The following is a 23,131-nucleotide window of genomic DNA, read 5'->3' on the forward strand; positions in this document are numbered from 1 at the left end:
CCAAGGTCGTGCCACTGAACTCCAGCCTGGGCGACAGAGCGAGACTCCATCTCAATCCATCTATCAGTAAAATACAGGATGGAAGGGAACGCCCAGCTCTCAGTCAGCTGCCAGCCCACGGCCTTGGACGCCACTGATGTGAGCCTGTCTGGGCTGGGGCAGAAGGGGCCAGCGTCAGGTCCTCAGACAATTTCCTCCTGGTAGCCTGGCCTGAGGCCCACCCAACCCAGGGAGCCGGCCCTGGCCAGTTGCAGCCAGTACCACCTGGTGCCCAGCAGAGGGCAGCACAGGCCACAGGCTGGCTTTTTCTAGGTGAAATTTTGCTACAACGTGTAGCCTCTTGGGTTCGGTGTCTCCCCTGTACTTCTTTGCAGGCCGGAGAAGTCCCGGACATTATCACAGACACCCTGCCTCATCCCCAGCTTCTGAGGTCTTTCTGGACTCTGTTAGCATATTTCAGAGGTTCACTGCAAACCAGAAACGGGACTTTGAGCTTGTGTTCCAGGGCAGAGGGCCCCAGCGCCTGTAGGTGCAGACAGCGCACCCCCAACACCCCCGAGTTTCCGCCTCCTCATCTGGAGAGCGGGGCTGGACAGGATGGTTTTTGGGGCTTTTTTGCAAGCTCACCGGGGCCAAGTGAGCTATTTCCCCTTGCCATTCTCTCCCAGGAGGAGAAGGCATAAGATGATGCTGAAGGCACAGGCTCTGGAAGAGGACAGGGCCATGCTTATTCCTGCCTTGTTATGTGATTATGGACAAGCCTTCACTGACCCTTGGAGTGATGGATAAAATCCGTACCCCACAGGGTTACAGGAGAAGTAAGTGAGGGACCACGTGCACGGAGCCCAGCAAGGTGCTCAGGAAACAATGCTATTGTTTTTCAGGTTACATCTTGGGGAGACCACCCAGAGGACCTTCTTTCAAGGACAGGTACCTGGAATTTCTCTCCCTTTCCTACATCATCTTCTTGTTTTCATGCGCAGGGAGGCCACCACTACCTGAGCCAGACCACTCCCTTCTTAAGCCAGGGCCTGCAAATTGCTGCAGCACTGCCCCCTCGATCTCAATCAGACACCCACATTCCTGCCCACCATGCCCAAAGCCCTTCATTGACCAAGACCCTGGCCTCGTCCCAATCCTCTGTAAAGTACACATGCGTCTTCAATCCACCCTACAGGACTGTGGAGCCGAGAAGATGTGGGGCTGAGCATTTACCTTTCCATAAGTTCTCCAGGGGGTTCTGAGGCCCACAGAATCAAAGAGCCACTGCTCTAGGCAATGAGATAGTATTCTAAAACAATTAATGAAGGCCCATGATGGGGACAGGAGAGCCATTATGCAAATTCCGGCCATTCGAGGTTATTAATTTGCAGGAGAGACTGTAGACGCTGGGTAAAGAATGCCCACAATATTAGGCAGTCAGGAGGCTACCCTGCAGGGCCTGTTCCTGCTCCGCCTGGTGAGCAGAAAGGTCTCAGGGACCAGCTTTAAAGGATGACAGGCCTCCCACTGGGTCACAGGGCACAGCTGCCAGGACTGAGGCCAGAATGAAGGCGATCGCCCATCCGGCTCAGTGGTTCTCAGTCTTGGGTCAGCACTGGAATCCCCAGGAGGGAACACGGAAACCCCGAGAGCTGGCTCCGCCCCTAGAGCTGACCTCAGTAAATCTGAGATGAGGCCAGAGAAATTGCATTTCGACAAGTTCCCAGGTGTTGCAGCGCAGGTGTGTGCATGCATGCATGCATGTGTACTTGTGTCTGTGCCCGTGCATGTGTGTGTTCCCCTGTTTTCTGCTTTCTGCAGTGTTTTAGCTCAGACTTCCTGATTGGGGTCCCATTCTTGACCAGAGGCCCAGTCTAGACCTAGAAGAATACTAATACATGCCCAGCTGTTTAGAGCCCACAAGCCCTCTCATGGCCCTTGTTTCCAGGCCCCATAACAGCCCCATAAGTTTGTTTTAAAAGTGCATCTGTAGGGGAGAAAAGATTTCTTTCCTCATCCATCACTAGGTTCATGGCTGAGGCACCTGTAACAAAAGACAGACTCACAAGAGAAAAGCAACCAAGTAATTTAAGTTTTGTGTGACATGGGAGCCTTGAGAAATGAAGACCCAAAGAAACAGGGACATCTATGTGATTTTTTGCCAAGTTTGATGAAGAAGCAGATAATTGTGGAGAAGTATAATCGGAAAATGGGGGTATGATTTGATGGTAATGACCTAAGTGGCATTTGGAAGGCCTGTTTCTTCAGATTCTTCTCTGCGTCTCTGCATCTTCATAGAGAAGGACTTTCCTTCCCTGTGGGTCTAGGGAAGGCACCTCTTAAATGAAGGTTTCATGACCCACTTGAGAATAAATTCAGGAAATTCTTTTATGGCCTGCTTCAGGGGAGAAGGGCAGGAGAAGGTCAGAGAGCGACCTTCCTTCTTCTGTGGTTTTCTCAAATGCCAAGGTGGCAGATCTGGGACAGTGTGTCCTGAACTCCCTCACAACCATGGCTGTCTGCAGGCCAGTCACTCAACGGCCATGAATGTGTATTGACTTGTGAGATCCTCCAAACAAACCTTCAAATCTCTGCTCACCCCCATTTGAGAGACCAGAGATGAGCCAAGAGACATGAAGCAACCTTCCCAAGGGAGCAGAGCCAAGATTTGAACCAGGGCTGTTGGGCCAGTGAGCAAGGGCTTGAAATCCAGTGCAGCACAGGTATCTTCCTCAGCAGGCTCAGAGACAGGAGGTGGACCGGCCGGAGCAGAACGGACCCTCCCCTTCAAAGCGGGACTCTGCCCTTGAGCCCTGAGCAGCCACTCTGGACAGGGTCCACAGAGGAAGGCAATCCTCCAGCCCGCCATGCTTCCTCTGACCTCTTCCCTCTCTCAGATGGAACTGCAAGAAGATCCCAAACCATCCAGGTTTCCCCTACCTCTGGGCCTTTGCACAGCCTTCAGAGCAGCCCTGAGGTGATCTCCTGGGCCATCAGCACATGACCGAACAAACCTTGGGCCACCAAGCTCCTTCCCCGGAGTTGGCTCTGAGGCCAATCCCCCGATTTCACACCATTTTACCATTCCTAGCCTTGGTCCCTCCACAGAGCCCCCTGTTTGCTCCCCGCTGTGCTTCCTGGCACCAGCCTCAGTATTTCCAGAAACACATGCAGAGACTCAAGGCTTGGAGGACTGGCTTTATCGAGAGGCTCTGGAAGGCTCTCTGACCCCAGTGGAATTTGGCTCTCTCCGTCCCTCCAGATGTTACTCAGGCCCCAAACCTTGCCCAGCCTTGTTAGTGGCTTCTCCTTCCCACACAGGCTGTGCCACCCCTTCTCCCTCAGCCTGGACCCCAGACCAGTACTGAGCTTTTCCTGTCAGCCCCTTGGGTCACTGCAGACAAGGCTCTAGTGTTCAAACTCTGGCTTGAGCTCAGAGCAGGGCCCACTCTGGGCTTGAAAATACCTCGTGTGGGGACAGCAGGGCACACTGGAGAGGTGAGGAGGGTCTCCTGTCCTAGGCTGAGGAGCTGGCCCAGAGGCAGCCCTGGCCTCCTCGCCACTCCCCTGAAATCAATTCCTCATCTGAGGGAGCTTTCTAAAATAAAATTTAAAAATTGCCCACGGACCTGCCCAGCTTAAAGCCTTTGCAAGGCTGCTCTTGACCCCAGCATGAAACCCAAGCTCCTCTCCATCCTGGCTGCCAAGGCCCCAAGCCACTCGCCCAGCCCACCAGCCTCACCACACTCCCATAGACTTCCCCACTCTTGGGTGGGGGTGGGAGGGCTACACGAAGCTCTAAAGTCAGCCCGTGCTCTTTCTCACCCCCAAGCCATTGCACAGCCTGCTCCCTTGGTCTAGAACACTCCCTGTATCTGACTTCGACATGTTTCTTCCTCCAGGAAGCCCTCCCTGATGCCCCATTCCCCCTCCAAGGACTGCCCAGCATCTGGAGCACCCTGTACCGAGCGGCACACTGTGGTGCTGGAAACATCCTTGTTGTACTCCTCTGTGCCTGGACACTGCATGTGGGCCTGTCCATACGCCACCCAGACCCCTCGGGTACCTTTCACCATTTCTGAGCACTCTTCCCCTGGCTTCTGTGTGTTTTTGCTTCTAAGAATCTGTTGGGAAGAAAATATTCCCTCTCTATCAACTTAGATCCTAGTGGTAGGGTGGAGGGCTACAAATCAACTGACAATGGACAGATTCACAGGAGAAAAAAACAATCAGTTGTACTCACATGCCTGGGGAAGACTGAACAGCTGGGAATAAGGGCTTCTATACCCACTTAATAAACCGGGTGAACTGAATGGGGTTAGGGCTGCTGTGGAGGCCCAGGAATCAATCAGAAGCCTTCAGCTTTCACCTCCCATCCCCCGTTCCCTGACCCCATGCCACCAGATGCAAATAAGAAGGAAACTTTAATTCCACAAATTGAAGCATTTATGAAGCTCAGCAGGCAACCTGGCAGGCAGGCAGGCACAAGTGAGGAACAAGGGCCCCGGGCTGGGCTGCCTTCCAGGCAGGTCCCCTCGACACAGGCCACTGCAGCTCTCTCCTGCAATGTGTCAGGAGAGCCTGGCACAATGTGGGGGACGGGGGCGGGGGGGTGCGGAGCTTGGCACCACCTGGTGGTCTCAGCTGCCACTCCACACGTAGGAGGCTGGATGCCTGCTGGGGCAGAAGGCGGAATCCAGCCTGACCACTTAGTGGGGCTCATCTACGCAAGCCTTGGGAGCAGTGGCAGGCTGCTGTGAGGGGCGCGCTAGCCTGAGGAACCCTCAGCCTCAGTACTCCTGGGTCGAGCTGCAGGAGCAGGCCTGGCAAGTCCCTAAGGCTTCCAGCAACATTCCCCTTCCCCAGGCTTGGCAGTGCCAGCCCACAACTCAGTCATGGGACACCAGGTGGGCTCCTTTCTTGTGGGCCTGGGGCAGTCTGCTGAGAAGAAGTGGGCTTGCAGCCTTGAGGGGGATTAGATCCTGGAGGAGAGGCCCATCCCTTCCTTCATACAACCGGGGTATGGCTGGCTGTCCACAGGCGGCCATCCCCGTGCCACAGGCTGAGTTCTGTCTTCCCCAAACTCACGTGCTGAAGGCAGGACCTTGCAATGGGACTGTTCTTGGAGACAGGGCCTTTAAAGGGGTAACTACATTAAAGTGAGGTCATTAGGTTGGGCCCTCATCCCATGTGACTTGTATCTTCATGCGAAGAGAATAAGACATAGACACACACACAAAGGTAAGACCACGTGAAGACACGGAGAAGGCGGCGTCTGCAAACCAAGGAGAGAGGCCTCAGGGGAAACCAACCTGCTGACACCTTCATCTCAGACTTCCGGGCTCCAGCACTGGAAGAAAATGAATTTTTGTTTAAGCCGCCCAGTCTGTGGCACCTTATTATATCAGCCTGAGCAAACCAATACACAAGGGCCCAGATACCTAAACAGAAAAGTGTGATAAGGCCATTTAAACCACAAATACACAGCGGGGGTCCCAGATCCCAGAGCAGGGTCTCAGTTATTTCACAGATCACAAAACTGAGGATGCTGAGGAAGGGGGCCTCCCCAAGGCCACACAACAACTTGGAGGAAACACGGAACTGAAGGAAATTGATTCCCAGGGGAGGGCCCTTGCCTGACCCCCTCCTAGGGGAGAGTCAGAGGGTTTCCAGGAGCATGAGGATGCTGAGACTACAGGACTACAGATGGAGGGTGTTTCATGGCTGAGTGAAGGGGTAGAAGCCAGGCGAGTATGACACAGGATCCCTCTTGACAGAATTAGAACACAGAGATCTGGAGTTCCCATCATGCCCCTACCACAGATTCATGGTGGAAACTTGGGCCTCATCTGCTTATCTCTGAAGTGCAGAAATTTATAGCACCTACCTCCAGGGAGAGTTGGGGGTTAACTGAGATCACGATGTACAAACCTGTAAGCTGTAAGGCAATGGAAAAGTGGAGGGTATGTCCTTGGATGAAGCTTCCGCTCTGGACAGCATGGAGGACCCAGGAGTCAGGCTGGGCTGCTGGCTCACAGGTGTTCTCTCCCCCTGGCCCAATGCCCTGGTTCCCATTGCCGTCTGAGCTCCTCCCTTCCATGTCTCTGTTCTTGCTTCCTTCCCTCGGTCTGCCGTCGCCCTTTGTCAGTGATCAGACGTGACCATGGGTAACAGGCATGAATTTTAGTCTCTGCATGCTCAGGTGTGTAAGAAACATGGCTTCCTTTAGTTCCTATAACTAAACTTTATTTTCAGTTTGCACTGATCTTCCTCCAGCTGCCCTCCCAGCCCAGCAGGGCCTCTGCCCTGGCAGGGATGGGATCAGAACTCAAAGCCCCTTTCATGCAACCGTGTGTGCACAGTTACACACAGATCTGTCTAAAATCTAACTAGTAGGAAGCAGTGAGAACTTGGTGCTTTGTAGAGAGGCTTTGTGATTCAGATAACAGGGCTAGCTCCAGGGAGTGTGGAACAAACGAGACCCCTGAGGGCACAGACACCTCAGAGCATTTGTACCTCTGGTGCTGGGGAGGGGTGGGGGGCCCATCTGTGAGCCTCTGGTGCCCATGTGCCCACGTGCAGGGTTTGTATCTTTGTGCACTTTGTACCTCTGTGTGGCAGGCGATCAATGGTGTTTCTATCTCAGCCAGGGACTCAGGTGCGAGACTGAGAAGCCCAGGAGGCAAGAGGCACCTGCAGCCCTAGAGCCCACTGCAGATTTTCCTTGAGGGCCGTATATCCAGAACCATCCCAGGGCTTGGCTTTTGAGAGAAAATGTAGTCTTAAAGAATGAACAAGTGGGCCGGGCGCCGTGGCTCACGCCTGTAATCCCAGCACTTTGGGAGGTCACGAGGTCAGAAGATGGAGACCATCCTGGCCAACACAGTGAAGCCCCGTCTGTACTAAAAATACAAAAAAACTAGCTGGGCATGGTGGCGGGCACCTGTAGTCCTAGCTACTCGGGAGGCTGAGGCAGGAGAATGGCGTGAACCCAGGAGGCCGAGCTTGCAGTGAGCCAAGATCGTGCCACTGCACTCCAGCCTGGGTGACAGAGCGAGACTCCATCTCAAAAAAAAAAAAAAAAAAAAAAAAGAATGAACAACTGCTGACTACTGTTTACTACAATAAGCATAGCTGATACTCTATCCAGGAAGAGGAAGCCACCACTCAGTGCCCCAGCCAAGATTGTTCTCAAGCTTTTGTCCGTCCCAAACCTTTATGAAGCATCCTCACCCACTGACATGTGCAGTACTTAAGACGGTGCACCCTGGAGTCAAATCCCAGCTTGGCCCCACATGAGCTCTGAGGCCCTTGAGGAGACAGCGTTGCAAAGACCCCAGGGGCCGAGTAAGCAGAGGCCTTTCAGAGATCAGAGAAAAGGCCACATAGCTGGGAGCCTTTGTGAAACTGGAGAGGTCATCGGGGCCAGATCCTCAGGGGCCCAGTGGCCCTGGAAAGGAATCTGGTCTTGTACCTAGAAATGGTGGCATTAATTATGTGACTTTGTCCAAGTCGCTGTCCTATTCTGAGCTTCAGTTTTCTTGTCTGCAAAGGGCTCTGGACCAAACCATCTAGGATCCACCCTGACCCTGGGCCTTCATGTCAGGTTAAGGAGAGACAGGGCCTCGTTCTGCGTTCAGGATGAGTTTCTCCAGGGAAAGGCCTTCTAGCTCCGCCCTGCCCTGTCTGGCTCTGGGGACCACGCAGGACTCTCAAGACACTAGGTCACTACACTCAGGAGTTTCCCATTTCTGCCAAGACAATCTGGAGAAGACATCACCCCACTTGAGTCATGAGATGTCCTCAACAGCACCTTCTAGAGTGCAGATCTTTTTGCTGCTGTGAGAGAGGGGCTTATGCAGAATGATATTGTCAGTGTAGACATGTTTCACACAGAGGAGAACTCAGGACAGGGGACAGGAATGGAGGCAGGAACTCGATCTATTAGAACAAGTTTTCTGATGTGGTTATGCATCAGGGATGTAGAATCCTGTGCCTTCAGGATTTCTGGGATTAAAGACAATCCCAGAAAACAGGCCTGGACAGGTCCTGGAATCAGCCCCAGGCCTATTTGGATAGGGGATTCTGGGGTCCTCGTACCCAGAGCCTGGTCTAGACAGAAGGAGGGAGTGGGCTCTGGGTGGGCAAACCCACCTTGGCCCTTTCCCTTCCCTCATCCTGTGGGGAGGGGCTCAGCTAGTGGAGGGTCAGAGAGGGTCTAAAGCAGGGGTTCCATGGTAGGCACCCCTCTTGTCCAGACCCAAAGGTGGCTTGGATCACCACCGAGGCACAGCTGAGTGATAAGTTGATGAGCAGCTGTGTTTTGCTGCCACATAAAAATGGCTCATTCCCCACCCCCCGGCCCTGAAGTGACTATTTACTGAGAGAGGCAACCCTACTGAACAAAAGCCTGCTATTTATTACACGTTCGGTGAACACCCCACAGTTCCAATGCATGGGGAGGGCTTGGAAACCAAATCAACCTTGGGAAAAGGAGGTGCAGAGGCCAAGGTCAAAACCAATTCATGGAAGTGGGAAGAAAGCAGGGCTGGCCTCAACCTTTTCACTATTAGAGAGATGGCCATGTAAAGTAGTGAGCCTCCTGTGGAAGGCATATGCAAGAACAGGTAGAATGATTATTTCTTAGGGGTTTTGTAGAAAGGATTCCTTACACACAAAGGCACAGGATTCTACATCCCTGGAGCATAACTACATCAGAAAACTTGTTGTAATAGATTGAGTTCCTGCCACCACTCCTGTCCTCGTCCTGAGTTCTCCTCTGTGTGAAACATGTCTAGACTGACAATGTCATTCTGCATAAGCCCCTCTTTCACAGCAGCAAAAAGATCTGCACCCTAGAAGGTGCTGTTGAGGACATCTCATGATGCAAATGAAGCAGCTGCTTGCAGGAGCCATGGAGGGGCTTGGGCAGCAGGCGGGGGGTGCCCACAGGCATGTGCCCCTCCAGAAATGGGCAGGAAGTGGAAGGAAGAGAAAGGGAGTCAGGCCCAGGGCAGGGGTGGGGGCTGGGGTCTGCTTTCTCCACACTGCCAGGTTCTGGTGAGGACCTCCCAGGTGGGTGTAAATTTGCAAACCCAAATGGTTAAGAAGATATATCTGTTAATGTAGAACATTTTGTATTTAACCAGTAATTGACTTGATTCATAACTTTAAGTATGCAGATGTGGTAAGTGGACCTCAGTATTAGCTTCCTATTGCCACTGGAACAAATGACCAGAAACTTCGTGGCTTCAAACAACACACCTTTATTATCTGACATTTCTGGGGGTCAGAAATCCAAAATGACTCTCCCTGGGCTGGATCCGGGTGTTGGCAGAGCTGCGTTCCTTCTGGGGTCCTGGGGGAAGCCTGTTTCCTTGCCTTTTCCAGTGTCTAGAGGCTGACCCCATTCTTTGGCTCATGGCCTCTTCCTCCGTCTTCAAAGCCAGCAGTGTTGGGCCGAGTCTTTCTCAGGCTGCTACCTCTGTTCTCTCTCTCGTGCCTCCCTATGTCATTTGTCAAGACCCAGAGGATTCCACAGGCCTACCCAGATAACCCGGGGTAATCTTCCCACTTTAAAGCCAGCTGATTGACAACCTTAATCCCATCCACAACCTCTGTGACCCTCTGCCATGCAAGGTAACATACTCACAGGCATAGGGATGAGGATGCGGATGTCTTTAGAGGGCCACTGTTTTGCCTACCACAGCTTCCATTTGGATTCTTGTCCCAACCCCTACAAAAGTGAGGCATATAATTTGTTGAATTCTGAATAAAATGCTACCAGTGTCTACAAATTATATTTTTTCTTTTTTTAAAAAAAAAAAAAAACCTTCTTCCCCAAGTCTGGTTTCCTTTAGACCTCAGGACTAAGTACCTGAGAAGATCTGCGGGCAAGGATAGTTATGTGATTATCTGGACAGAATGGCATTTCTGATTGACATTGTTGCATTACTTTGGCTCCAGATGCAGTGGCCTGAGAGCAGAAATAAAACCCCCTCCAGCTGCCTCAGCCCACCCTTTGCAGAGGGAGAATTGAGTTGGGGCCACACGGTGGGAAGCACTAATCCTCAGTCCACACAAACCCTCGCTTTCCAATTATTTTGATGGAAGTCATGAAAGAGCACTCAGCTAGGCATTATTAATCCATTTTTTCAATTCAGCAAGTATTGATTGAGCAGCTACCCTGTGCCAGTGAGGTTGGAAACACAAGGGTGATGAACAAGGTACATGTGCCTGGCCGTCACTGGCCAGCTCTGTCACTGCAGGCGGGAACTTTCCTTCCTGTGGGGCCCAGGGTTTTATAATCACATGAGCACCTACACATCCGGTACAGAGCCCCGTTAAGGGGGCAGGGCCTGGCCTGCCTCCTTCACTGTTGTCTCCAATTGCCTCAGATGCATGTGGATGCTCATTCGTTGAATGAATGAATGAATAGATGGTCCTTGCTGATCGGAGAGTCAATGACTGTATCAGGCCAACTGGAAAAGCAGAGGGCAAGCCAAGAGAAGACTTGGACAGTGCCTGCCACCATGGCTGCGAGTGAGAGGACTGCGGATCCCGAGGTGGATTCCTGGGGTGGCAGCTACTGTTTACAAAGCACTTTGCTGGTATTTATTAGGCCACGCAGTTCCCTTCCAAGTTTCCTCCTGTTATCATTCTCACTTTGCAAATGAAGAAACTGAGGTACTGGGATAAAACTTGCTGAAGACCACATGGCTAGTAAGTGTCAGAGCTTGGATGTGAACCTGAATGCTCGCTGAGGAGAGAGCAGCTCGCCTCCTTCCCTCACAGGCACATAGTCAGCCTTCCCGAATTTCATCCGGCAACAATTAACCTCTCCCTTCTCACTATCCCCCGCTCCCTTTCCATCTGTAGAGATCTCCTTGGATCTAAATTATCAGGGCCTAAAGCCAGGCCATACTACCGAGGTTAAAGAAGGTGAAAGGGCTGCATTGGGCAACATTGTTCCTTCAATCCTAACTCTTTAATCCTAATTCATCACTGCACACTCTGCTCCCTTCCCTGGGTGAAGACAGTTTGATTTGCCCAGTATCCAGAAAGTTTGTGCTAAGACAAGGGAAATTGCCACATGGCTCTCTGTTTCATTCAGTCCTTCATAAGCATGCAGCCTGACCTGGAGAAACTGACAGTGTAAAATGCATGGAGCAGCTCCTGTCCCTCTCTTTCCTACCCTTGAGCACTCTCTAAGCAGTAGCTGGCCGATACAGTCGCCCAGGAAGTCTCCCTGTAGCTCGGCCGTCAGTCATTACCCTCACTGGCAGCACGGGACAGAGAACGGGATATGTTCTCCCCTTTTATTTTGTGTGGTGAGACTTGGAAAACTCTGCGCCTAGAAAAATCCATTTCTGAAGGTTGCTGCTATTGAGTAGTGCAGTGAGACTGGGTTTGAAGGTATTGGACTCTTACATAGGCTATGTGAACGTGGGCAAATTGCATCTTCTCTTTGAGAAGTCTGAGCTCAAGTCTTGCTTTGAGTTATTTGTGTACTAACCTTTGACCTTGCTGACAAAAAAAAAAAAAATCACAGTGCTGGGTACAGCTCCTGACACTCCACCTCCCCTACTTCTTTTTTAGATACAGGGTCTTGCTCTGTTGCCCAGGCTAAAGTACATTGGTGCAATCATAGCTCACTGCAGCCTTGAACTTCTGCCTCAAACAATCCTCCCACCTCAGCCTCACGAGTAGGTGGGACTACAGGTGTACTAGTATGCCCAGCTATTTTTATTTATTTATTTTGCTGTCCATCCTGATCTGGAACTCCTGGGCTCAAGCAATCCTCCTGCCTCGGCCTCCCAAAATGCTGGGATTACAGGCATGAGGCACTGCACCCAGCCTCAACTTCTCCCACTTCTATCTTCTCCCCAGTTCTAGGTGAGGCAGGACCTGCCACATGTCCAAATCTCCATCTGTCCCCAGCACTCTACTAAATGGCTTAACTGGGCCCTCACGTCCCTCCCTGGGGATCCTGTGAAAAGACTTGTGAACCTGCTCCAGGTCCTGACTGAACCAAATTTCCTCTCTCTACATGCCGAAAGAGTAATAGGTGTTCCTGCATTAAGCAATGGCTTAATTTAGGTTTATTTTCATTCTTCAGATATCTCTCCCATTTGATGTTTCACCCCCTTGAAGCTCAGGTGAATCTCCATCTTCTTATTCATCTGAATATTCCTCATGCCTGGCATCACGCCTCACTCATAGAGTAGGAATTCAAAAACATCCCAGTAGGAGCTGGGAAAGCTCCTACTGCATGTCTTGTACATCTGCTGTATGCCAGCTGGGAAAGCTCCTACTGCAAGAGAGAGGCAAACCACAAAGGGGACTAAGGGGAAGAATTGGGAGGGGGGCATTTATTGCCCCAAATGACTGAATTTGGGTCAAATAACAGGACCACGGGCACTCACATGTTCAAGTTATGTTCAGGAATCTTCCTGTTTTCTTTATGAAGCAGACCCTACCTCTCATCATAAAGCTGGAAATGCCACGTTCCCTCCATTCCAGCCTCTCTTGCAGCTATGGTGAGCCTAAATGAGCTAGACTCAGTCAATCAAACCCTTCTGCCCTAGAGTTTGAATGGGAAGTTCTGACTTGAAGAATTAGGAACCACACAGGACCCCGTTTGTGAAGGGGGTGGCACAAGGTGCGTGGCCTCTAGCTCCCAGGGGCAGCATCCAGAATTCAGCCTCAGGGATGTTGGTCATGCAAGCCACCAAATCAGTGCCAGCAGCCAAGACGGGGGTGTCTTCACAGGGCCAGTTTCGTCATGTTATTTCAAGGGTTGCTCCTGGCCCGTAGCCTCTGAATTTATTTTAGTTTCTCAGAGATTTCAGTGGGCCAACGAATGTCACTTAATCGATCCCTTTTCTGCTTGGAGGAGCCAGACTCCGTGTTTGTTGCTTACAAATGAGACCTTGACTGAGACAAGTTGTCTTGAGTTTCCAGTTGAAGTCATCCTATTCCCTTTCACCTTGAGGCCTTTGCACATGTCATTTCTCTCACCTGGAGCAGGCATTCACCCTCTTTTTGTGACTGGATGACTCCTACCCAGTCATCCAAGGGTCAGGCTTGAAGACTCTTCCCCTGAGAAGCCCTCCCAGATCACCCCAAATCTGGGCTCCCACACCACCCTGCATGTTCCTCTTAGTAGCATCCTGACCCTGGATTTTACTGTTTATTTCTGTGTTTCCTCACTATTCTGTGAGCTGCATGAGGACAGAAGTGCATCTATTTCATCATTGTTAGTAGTAGTTAGTATAGTTGCCCAGCCTATTGATATTGTTGAATGAGTGGATGGATTGAACTCTCTTAGGCCAGAGTGATCCCCCACTATCACTGCCTGGCAGCATGGAGCAGCTTCAGTTTTTGGACTCAGGGCAATTGCCCTGTTCCAGGAAACCCCAAAATAGAGTTGCCTCATTTCACTTCTACCAGCATGTCTTGTACATCTGCTGTACGCCAGGCCCCGTGTCCTCTTACGCCCACATCCCAGATCCTGCAGGTAGAAGTGCTCACATTGCTGTGCTCCCTTTTCTCTGACCAGCCATGGAGGCCCTGGGGGCTTGGAGGAGTGGCTGCTTACTCCCTGGGGGAAGTGTGGGCTGCAAGCCCCTTGAGTGGGCAGGTTGCCATGGTGATGCTAATGGAGAGACTTGCCTGAGGAATACTGACCACCAAAAGGAACAATTACCAGAGAAGGCCCATTTCTTTAGCAATTTTCAAGAATGGGCAAGATAAAAAGCCACAAGTGAAAAGGCATTGCAAACAAATAATAGTGTATGAGCTGGTCTGGACCCAACAAGGCCTGTTTCCCACCCCTCTTTCCCTCTGGTTGTAGTGAATAAAGCCATACTTTTCAGTGATTTATAACTGTTCAAAAATGACTCGTTTCCATATCTTCTTTCATCTACCCAGCACCCATTATGTACCAAATGCCTAACAGACACTTAAAATATACTCTATAATTATGAAAACAACCCTACAAGGTAATTGTTCCCGTATTACAGATGAGAACACTGAGGCTCAGGGAGTGTAAGGGACCCGTCTAGGGCTACGCAGCTGGGAAGCACATGCAGCACTCTACTTCATGCTTAATTCAAGGAAGCGAATTCTCCTTGTGGGTTAACATCATCACAGTGGCAATTCCAGTGCCTCCATAAGAAAGTGTCCTTGGAAATGAGACACTAGCCCTCTCCTGTCTCATCTGCACAATATCCTATTGCCATCTATTTAGAAGAGAGGTAGTGAGTTGGTTCATTCATTCATTCTCCATTTGTTCATTCATACACATTTATTACACTCAAACTTCTAGGGCAAAACCAGCAAGCCCCGTACTGGACACTTCAGACTCAAAGATAGCAACTTGCTAAGTTACAGGAGCTTCCTCATAATTGCTGAGCTTCTAAGCTCTTTGTCCCAACTCCTGAAAAGTAGCCCTCAACTTCCAAACTGTGCTTCGGGCACTGACATTCCCTGAGCTCCACACACCCTTGGACCACAGTTTTCTGAGGCCCAGATGAGCACAATGTGCAGGGCAGAGCCTGGCACTTCCAGGGCTCCAAGGAGTCCAGAGGAAAATCGGGCAGGTCCTGAATCAGGCTGCTGTAGGTTGAACTCCTGCCCCACTTAGCAGCTGGATGATGTGCAAATTGCTCAGCCTCTCTGTGCTTCAGTTTCCTCACCTATAACCTAGGGCTAAAAATTAGAAGCACCTACTCCATACAGCTATTGTGCTGATACAATACAATAATCCACATAAGGAACTTAGAACAGAACAGTGCCGGCGGTGTATGTTAAATGCTGAGTGGACACCAGTTGGGATTAGAAGTAGCAGCATTGCCAGGTACTCCTGAGCAATGGGTCAGCTAATTCCACTCTACCCTCAGACCCCACCCTCCTTTGCAGTTCCTTCTCCTGCTTTGATAACTAGAAGCAGTCATATAGGGCCTGGGGTCTCTACTTGTAGGAGTTCAGTCAGGGTGGTAGGAAAAATTATAAAAATTATAGAAAGACTCAAACCTTCTTGGAAGGCCGGGAGGTTTTGCAAAAGTTTTGGGAAAGGATTTGGCTGAAGGCAGCTGAATTTTCTCAGAGTAAATAACAAGGAAGTGTAAGGGAATTAATCTAGATAAGTTAGTTTACTTAGGCCTTGAAACATGGCCTTTAATCATCCATGCTCAGGACTGCTCTCTTGGGGGAAAGGATCGCCCGACCCCCCACCCCACCCTCACCCCACCCCCTGCCACCATGTTAATTACCCACAAGTGTGTTGACTCAAAGCCTTTGTCATTAAATCTGTACTGAATATATGCCCACAGCACCAGCTTGTCAAGGCTGCAGCTGCTGACTCTTTACAGCACCCTCCTCGGTGCCTGTGAGTGGCCCAGTCCCTTAGCCGTGCAGCCAGGCAAAAAATCTGTGTCTGCATACATTTTTTCATCCATCACTCAGCCAGGGTCTGCGGGTTGGACCCCGCATCTACTCACAAATCAAGATGTTCAGTTCCGCCACCCACCCCTGTCTGTCTTCCTTTCTCACAGTCACTCTGTAGGTGTATCCTGAAAATGTAAATCAGACCACAGCATTCCCTAGCTGAAAACCCTTCCGTGGCTCCCTATTACTCACCATAGGCTAAATTCCGCCCAGACTCCTCTGAAGGGCTTGCAAGGCCTCCTGTGTTCTAGCTCCTGCCTGCTATCCACCCACACCCCTCATTCCTGCCCCTGTAAACCCCTTGTAGCTCTCACATCTCAAGAATTAAAGATTTGACCCAGTTGCTCCGACCACCTCCGCCCCGATCCCCAGAAACAGTTTCCCCCTTCTCTTTCTCTGGCCAACTTCTATCGGTTTTCAGAATGTCTCCCCTGGCCACGCAGGATCCCTTCCATTTTGAGGCTGATAAAATCCTGCGGATCGCAAGCTGAGCGCTCATCACACCCCATCGTGATTATCTCCCCTGCAAGGCCAGGGGCTTTGAGAGGGTGGGACTGTGGCTGACACGTTCAGTGCTCCAGTCCCATCACCTGACACTTGCCATAGAGAAGGTGCTTAGTATTTAGAAGAGTGTGTGCGATTACCGAGAGCATGGATATGAAGAAGGGGATCACAACCTTGAAAAAGTTTGTTGCTGAGAAAGAGGCAAGCAGCCCCAACTGACGGGAGCTGGCCTGGTCCTCACAGTTTGTCTCCTGTTGAACAATTTCACAGAACATTGACATCAGACAAGGCTATTCTGACTGTGTTGGAGCAAGACAAAATCGAGAGCACTTCGTAGTCATGTCTAAACGCAGATAAAACAAGAACATTGTCTAAACCACAAAAATGACCAGACATCCCGCTTTTTTGGGCTAATGGGAGTAACTGTTTACCAATGTTTATAATGTTGGCCCTGCACTAGTCCTTCTACCTTATAGATAAGATTATAGGTACCCAATTATAGAATGATTCCTACTGCCTGATGGCATCCAATTGAACCCTCCCTAGTCACTTAACACAAGCCCCCATCCTTTTGTAAGTTCTTCGTAACACCCTCTCACAAAGACCCCTCACTGTTCCCCACAGTGCACAATCTCCTTGCTGCAATGAGCCAATAAACCCAGCTCCGTTCAACTGCAGGTGTGTTCCTGGTCTTTGGCTAAAGGGCATTGACACCACCCATTTCCCAGAAACCTGAACTTGCAAAAAAAAAAAAATACCTAATTAAACAATTTCTGCAAGCTAATTGATAGTGAGAAATGTATTTCTGATAGGGAGCATCAGCTGGAGTAGACAACTTTGTACATACTATATGTTTTCCGGACAGTTGCTTCAGCTTCTCCTGCATTGTGTGTGTGTGTGTGTGTGTGTGTGTGTGTGTGTGTGTGTGTGTGTTTGCAGGGGGAAGATGCAAGCTTTGCTGTCCTGGGTGTCCGTGACTGGGCATGTCTCATCTGGAAAGAGATCAGCTAATATTCCTTGAGAAAAAGAATGTTATCACTGGATGATTACATCTGCTTCCAGAGAGGTAAGAGCATGCAGCATGGAGCAGACACTCTCTATCCCAGGAGCTGCCCTGCCCAGGCCTGGGCTGGTGGCTATTGTCATGGAGTGGTAACTGTAAGGCCATCCTCATAAGTCCTGCTGATATCACTCCAATCCATGGACACCCCTGTGACTCCGTCTCCATTCCTCAGGCCTGCTTCCCATGGAAAGACCCAGAGGGAAACGTGGTTGGTGGCATTGGGGACTGAGAACAGAACAAAATTCAGGCTTTGAGTGTGGATTAGAGACGCACTGTGTGGTGCTTGCATCACCTCTGACAGTGGTTGGGTAATGGGCTGAATCACCCAATGGAGACAGAATGCCAACAGATGTTAGTTGAGGAGGATGATTAATCTCCTTCTTCGAAAACTCAGAGAATCTTTATTGGCAACGTTGAAGTCAAGATAGGGCTTCTCCTTAGCAACCGGAAAGCGCCTAGTGTGCATGGCTACAGAATTCAATATGAAACTCAGATGATGAAGGTAGCCATGGGCACCTCTGATTGCCCATTGTAAATTTCTGCCTGGAATGAGGGCTGGGGCCTCATAAATGTCAACAAAAGCTGGTGATGGGTCCAGAGAGGGATGTTAGGCCAGCCTTGATGGATGAGGAAGTTTCATTTAGGGGCTCCTGTCACTTCCCATCTTCAGGCCAAGCTGACATCCATGGCTGTAAAATTGTCACCCTTCTCCTTTGCCTCTCAGGAAAGCAAAACTTCTTTACGACACTTTTAATCAAATCTGTCTTTTGCCACTTCTCTCCCCACCCTGCTCCCTCTGCCTTTATCCTGACAAAGAAGCGAACTGTTACTCTCTGTCAGTTATTTGTCTGAGTAATTTCTTGATGAAATTGCAACTATAATTGAATTTTCTGAAAACCAGGAATTCAAATGAGGCGACAACAGAGGAAACAGCGTGATTAAGGAATTGTTATTCACTCGTTGTACATCATTACCACCCAGAATTCATCGCTGGATCGTTCACAGATGGAGTTGCTGAACTATGATTATATTTTAGAAAATGAAGGGGGAAAAATCTAAAAAGGCAATAAAACATATTAGAAGCCTTCTTGAGGAACAGGATTATTACTGATTAAGTATATTTTGCATGAAAAATGTGCTAGCACTTTGGCAGTTTAAATTATACGTCCGTGCAGTCAACATTTTTGCTGGTCTCAAAATTCTTTGTTAGTTTGGTCTTCTAATCACATTCCTCTTCACCCTCCAAATTGACGACTTGAAAGAACATTAGAAATGATCATTCCTGAAGGAGCATTTGCTCTCAAAATGCATTTACGCTCAGCAGCCATTAAAAGGATATCATCCAGTCACTTAGTTTCTCAATTTAACTTTAAAGGAAAGTTGCCTTATTAGAGAAGTGGCCTCTATTTCAATGTAATGGTCTTTGTCACATCTTCCAATGTGCTGGCTTAGTGCTGAAGGATGGGGAAAGGCAGTTTTCACATATTGCAGCCACCATACCACCAAAGAAAACAGGTGCACTTCCAGGCATCATTTAGCGGGGTACCACATTCCTGGTTCCAGTTTCCTTTTTAGAAAATCTGAAAGTAACTTTGGGGCATATCTTTTAAGGAGTACTCCAACACGACTAGTGGACAGACCCTAAATTAATTGCCAATCAGCTCTGCCTTCTGGTATTTACACCTTTATGTAATAACCTCCACTTGAAGGTAGATGAGATCTGTGACTTGCTTCTAACCAGTGGAATATGGCGGAGGTGGTGGGACGTTACTCCTGTGATTACATTACATCATGTGGCTCCTTTATGATGGAAGATTCATGCTAGAGATTCTCCTTGCTGACTTGACAAAGTATGTAACCATGATGAAGACTTCCACGTGGCAAGGAGCTGTGGGAAGCCCAGGTGCTGAGACTGGCATCCAGCAAACACCCAGCAAGAAACAGACGTCCTTGGTTCTACACATACAGGAAATGAATTCTGCCAACATCCTGAGTAAGGCTGGAACTAGATTCTCCCCAAGTTGAGCCTGACAAGTAAAATACAGACCAGCCAACACCTTGATTGCAGTCTTGTGAGACCTGGGGAAAAGGACACAGCTGAACCGTGTCCATTCTTCTGACCCACAGAAACTGTCACATCATAAAGGTATGTTAGTTGTTACACAGTTTAGAAAACTATTACAGCTGCTCAAGAAGGTTAGCTAGCTCCAGATTTCAATCCATTCACAGGAAAGCAAGCTTTATTCCTAGAAGAATAATTCATGCTTTGCAAAAAGAGGAAAACGTCCTGCAGTTTTAGAAGGTCTTTTCTTTCTCAACACACCCAAATTTCTTTAAAATCCTCAAGAAGTGCATTTGTTTTCATGGTTGACTCGAAGAAGTGAGTATAATTAACTCACAAAAGGTGGGAGGAAGGGACAAATTAAATTTTGGTATGCATACAGGTAGCTTCTTCCAAGTGATAATGAGCAATGTGAAACAAAGAGATTGGCATTAAATGTAATGAAGGACTAGAGGAGTGTACCTAAACCTGAAACAAATTCCAAGAAGTGGCCTTGACCTAAAATGTTTGCATCCTGCCAGAGACCCTTACTTATAAGTCAGGAGATACCTGATGCCCAGGAGAACTGGTTTTTGTACTCTGTCTTACACAGACTAAGAATTAAGAATGCAGGTGAGAAGTTTAGAAAACTTCCTGATGATCATATGAAAAGACATTAAACTTTACCTGGTAAAACTATGAAATGTTGCCTGTAGATTTCTAAGAAAAATGAGTAGGAAGTTGGAAATATTTCAGAATTAAGAATGTTTTTATATAATTAGAACTCTTTAAGCTATGTAATTCTGAAATCTGTGTGACAGACTTCTGTGTAAACATAAAGAACTAGTTATTTTTACAGATTATCTAGTCTGTGTATTCATTTGATGTTTCTATTACTTTTACCCTCACTACAAAGTTCAATGAAGGTTAAAAAAATATTGTTCTTAAAAAAAGAAGAGATAAACCTGGAGTAGCTATTTCAATGTTAGACAAAATGGATTTTAAAACAAAAATGTTAATACAGATAGAAAGGGACATTTTATAATAATAAAAGTATCAAAATATCAGGAAGATACCACAATTATAAACAAATATGCTCCTAAAAATAGAATCTCAAAATACATAAAACAAAAACTGACAAAGTTGAAGGGATAAATAAATAGGCAGCTCAGCAATATTTAGAAACTTCAATACCTCACTTTCAATAATGGATAGAACAACTAGACATAAGATCAACAAGAAAATAGAATATTTTAACAAAGCTATACACCAACTAGGCCTAATGGATATCTATAGAATAATCCACCCAACAACAGAAGTCTTCCTCCTCCTACTTCTCCTCCTCCTCCCCTTCCCCTTCCCCTTCCCCTTCTTCTTCTTCCTTCTTCTCTTTCTCCTTCTCCTTCTTCTTCTTCTTCAACAGGATCTTACTCTGTTGCCCAGGCTAGAGTGCAGTGGTGTGATCATGGCTCACTGCAGCCTCAACTTCCCAGGCTCAGGTGATACATGGGCCTCAGCTTCCCAAAGTGCTGGGATTATAGGCACAAGCCACATGCCTGGCCCACATATTCTTCTTAAGTACACATCAAACATTCTGTAGAATAGACCATATGCTAGGCCACAAAACAAGCTTCGATAATTTAAAAGGACTGAAATTATACACAATCTGTTCCTTGGCCACAAAGAATAAAATTAGAAAGAACTTTTGGAAACTCACAACTATATAGAAATTAACATACCCATAAGTAACCAATTGGTTGAAGAAGAAATCACAAAATAAATGAGAAAATACTTTGAGATGAATGAAAATTAAGACACAACATATAAAAATTTATGCAATATAGCTAAAGCAATGCTTAGAGGGAAATTTATAGCTCCACATACCTACATTAAAAATGGAGAAAGTTACACTGTTGGTGGGACTGTAAATTAGTTCAACCACTGTGGAAGACAATATGGCGATTCCTCAAGGATCTAGAACCAGAAATACCATTTGACCCAGCAATCCCATTACTGGGTATACACCCAAAGGATTATAAATCATTCTACTATAAAGACACATGCATACATATATTTATTGAGGCACTATTTCCAATGGCAAAGACTTGGAACCAACCCAAATGCCCATCAATGATAGACTGGACAAAGAAAATGTGGCACATATACACCATGGAATACTATGCAGCCATAAAAAAGAATGAGTTTATGTCCTTTGCAGGGACATAGATGAAGCTGGAAGCCATCATTCTCAGCAAACTGACACAGGAACAGATAAACAAACACCACATATTCTCACTCATAAGTGGGAGTTGAACAATGAGTACACATGGACACAGGGAGGGGAACATCACACACCGGGGCCTGTCGGAGGGTGGGGGGCAAGTGGAGGGAGAGCATTAGGACAAATACCTCATGCATATGGGGTTTAAAACCTAGATGACAGGTTGATAGGTGCAGCAAACCACCATGGCACATGTATACCTGTGTAACAAACCTGCACATTCTGCACATGTATCCCCAAACTTAGAGTAAAATTTTTTTAAAAAAAGAAAAAACATCTCATATCAATAAGCTAGACTTCTATCTTAAGACGCTAGGGGAAAAGCAGCAAACTAATCCTAAAGCAAGCAGAAGGAAGACAATAATGAAAGTGGAAATTAATGAAATTGAGGACAGAAAAACAATAGAGAATATCACTGAAACCAAAAAGTGGTTCTTGTTTTCTTTCTTTCTCTTTCTTTCTTTCTCTCTCTCTCTCTTTTTCTTTCTTTCTTTCTTTCTTTCTTGTTTCTTTTGAGACAAGGTCTAGCTCTGTCACTCAGGCTGGAGTGCAGTGGTGCAATCACAGCTCACTGCAGCCTCGATCTCCTGGACTTAAGTGATCCTCCTACCTCAGACTCTCGAGTAGCTGGAACCACAGGAGTGCACCACCATGTCCAGCTAATGTTTTCAATTTTTTGTAGAGATGAGGTTTCCCTATGTTGCCCAGGCTGGTCTCAAATTCCTAGGCTCAAGCGATCCTCCTGCCTCAGCCTCTCAAAATGCTGAGCCACCACACCCAGCTGGTTATTTCAAAAGATGAGCAAAAGTGACAAGCTTTTAGCTAAACTGACCAAGAAAAAAAGAATACTTAAATTACCATAATCAGGAAAGAATGAGAGAACATTACTACCAACCTCATAGATACAAAAAGTATAGAGGAATACAACAAGCCAATTGATATGCCAACAAATTAAATTACAAATGAAATGGACAAATTCTTAGAAAGACACAAACTACAAAAACTGACTCAAGTAGAAATAGAAAATCTAAATAGGTATTTAAAAAAGATTATTAAACTGAGAGCTGAAGACAGGGCAGCAAAACTGCAGGGGCCACCACCACCACCACCACATGTCAGGAAGAGTACGGAGAGGCCCTGGAGGGGCATAACGACTGCAGGAATAAATTAGGAGAGCCAAGAGAACCCACAGACCCTCTGAAGGAAGTGGATTGCTCCTGCAGGACCTGGGAGACACCTCAAATACTGTGCTGGTATCTGTGGCTGAGAAACCCACAGATGGTTTGCATCACAGGACTCTGTACAGACAACCCCCAGTACCAGCCTGGAACCTGGTAGACATCCTGGGTGGCTAGATCCAGAAGAGAGATAACAATCACTACAGCTCGGCTCTCAGGAAGCCACATCCCTAGGAAAAGGGGGAGAGTAATACATCAAGGGAACACCCCATGGGACAAAAGAATCTGAACAACAGCCTCGAGCCCTAGGCCTTCCATCTGACAGACACTACACAAATGAGGAGGAACCAGAAACCCAACTCTAGTAATATGACAAAACAAGGTTCCTTAATACCCCCCAAAAAATCACACTAGGTCACCAGCAATGGATGCAAACCAAGAAGAAATCCCTGTTTCACCTGAAAAAGAATTCAGAAGGTTAGTTATTAAGCTAATCAGGAAGGCACCAGTGAAAGGCAAAGTCCAACTTAAGGAAATCAAAAAAATGATACAACAGGTGAAGGGAGAGATTTTCAATGAAATAGATAGCATAAATAAAAAACAATCAAAACTTCAGGAAACAATGGACACAG

General features: G+C 47.9%; 1 protein-coding gene across 3 annotated transcripts in view, besides 1 other annotated feature; it reads left to right on the forward strand.

Moving 5' to 3' along the window:
* The window catches only part of KCNIP1 (potassium voltage-gated channel interacting protein 1), a 383,146-nt gene that overhangs the window by 81,415 nt on the left and 278,600 nt on the right, over window positions 1-23,131 (forward strand). The window contains exon 2 of one of the 3 annotated variants that reach the window (XM_017009408.2): window positions 885-930. The exons of the other annotated variants lie outside the window; for them this stretch is intronic. Within the exon in view, the coding sequence (XP_016864897.1) occupies window positions 885-930 (46 nt within the window). The remainder of the gene's footprint in view (window positions 1-884; window positions 931-23,131) is intronic. 3 annotated transcript variants of the gene reach the window in all.
* Window positions 3,333-4,290: an enhancer, noted in NCBI's record as "H3K27ac-H3K4me1 hESC enhancer chr5:169865238-169866195 (GRCh37/hg19 assembly coordinates)". NCBI's record gives its function as "activates a minimal SCP1, AML or CMV promoter by ChIP-STARR-seq in primed H9 embryonic stem cells {active_cell/tissue: H9 hESC(primed)}" and the evidence as "EXISTENCE:reporter gene assay evidence [ECO:0000049][PMID:30033119]".

Source organism: Homo sapiens, chromosome 5 (assembly GCF_000001405.40).
Source record: "Homo sapiens chromosome 5, GRCh38.p14 Primary Assembly".
NCBI classification, from domain to species: domain Eukaryota; kingdom Metazoa; phylum Chordata; class Mammalia; order Primates; family Hominidae; genus Homo; species Homo sapiens.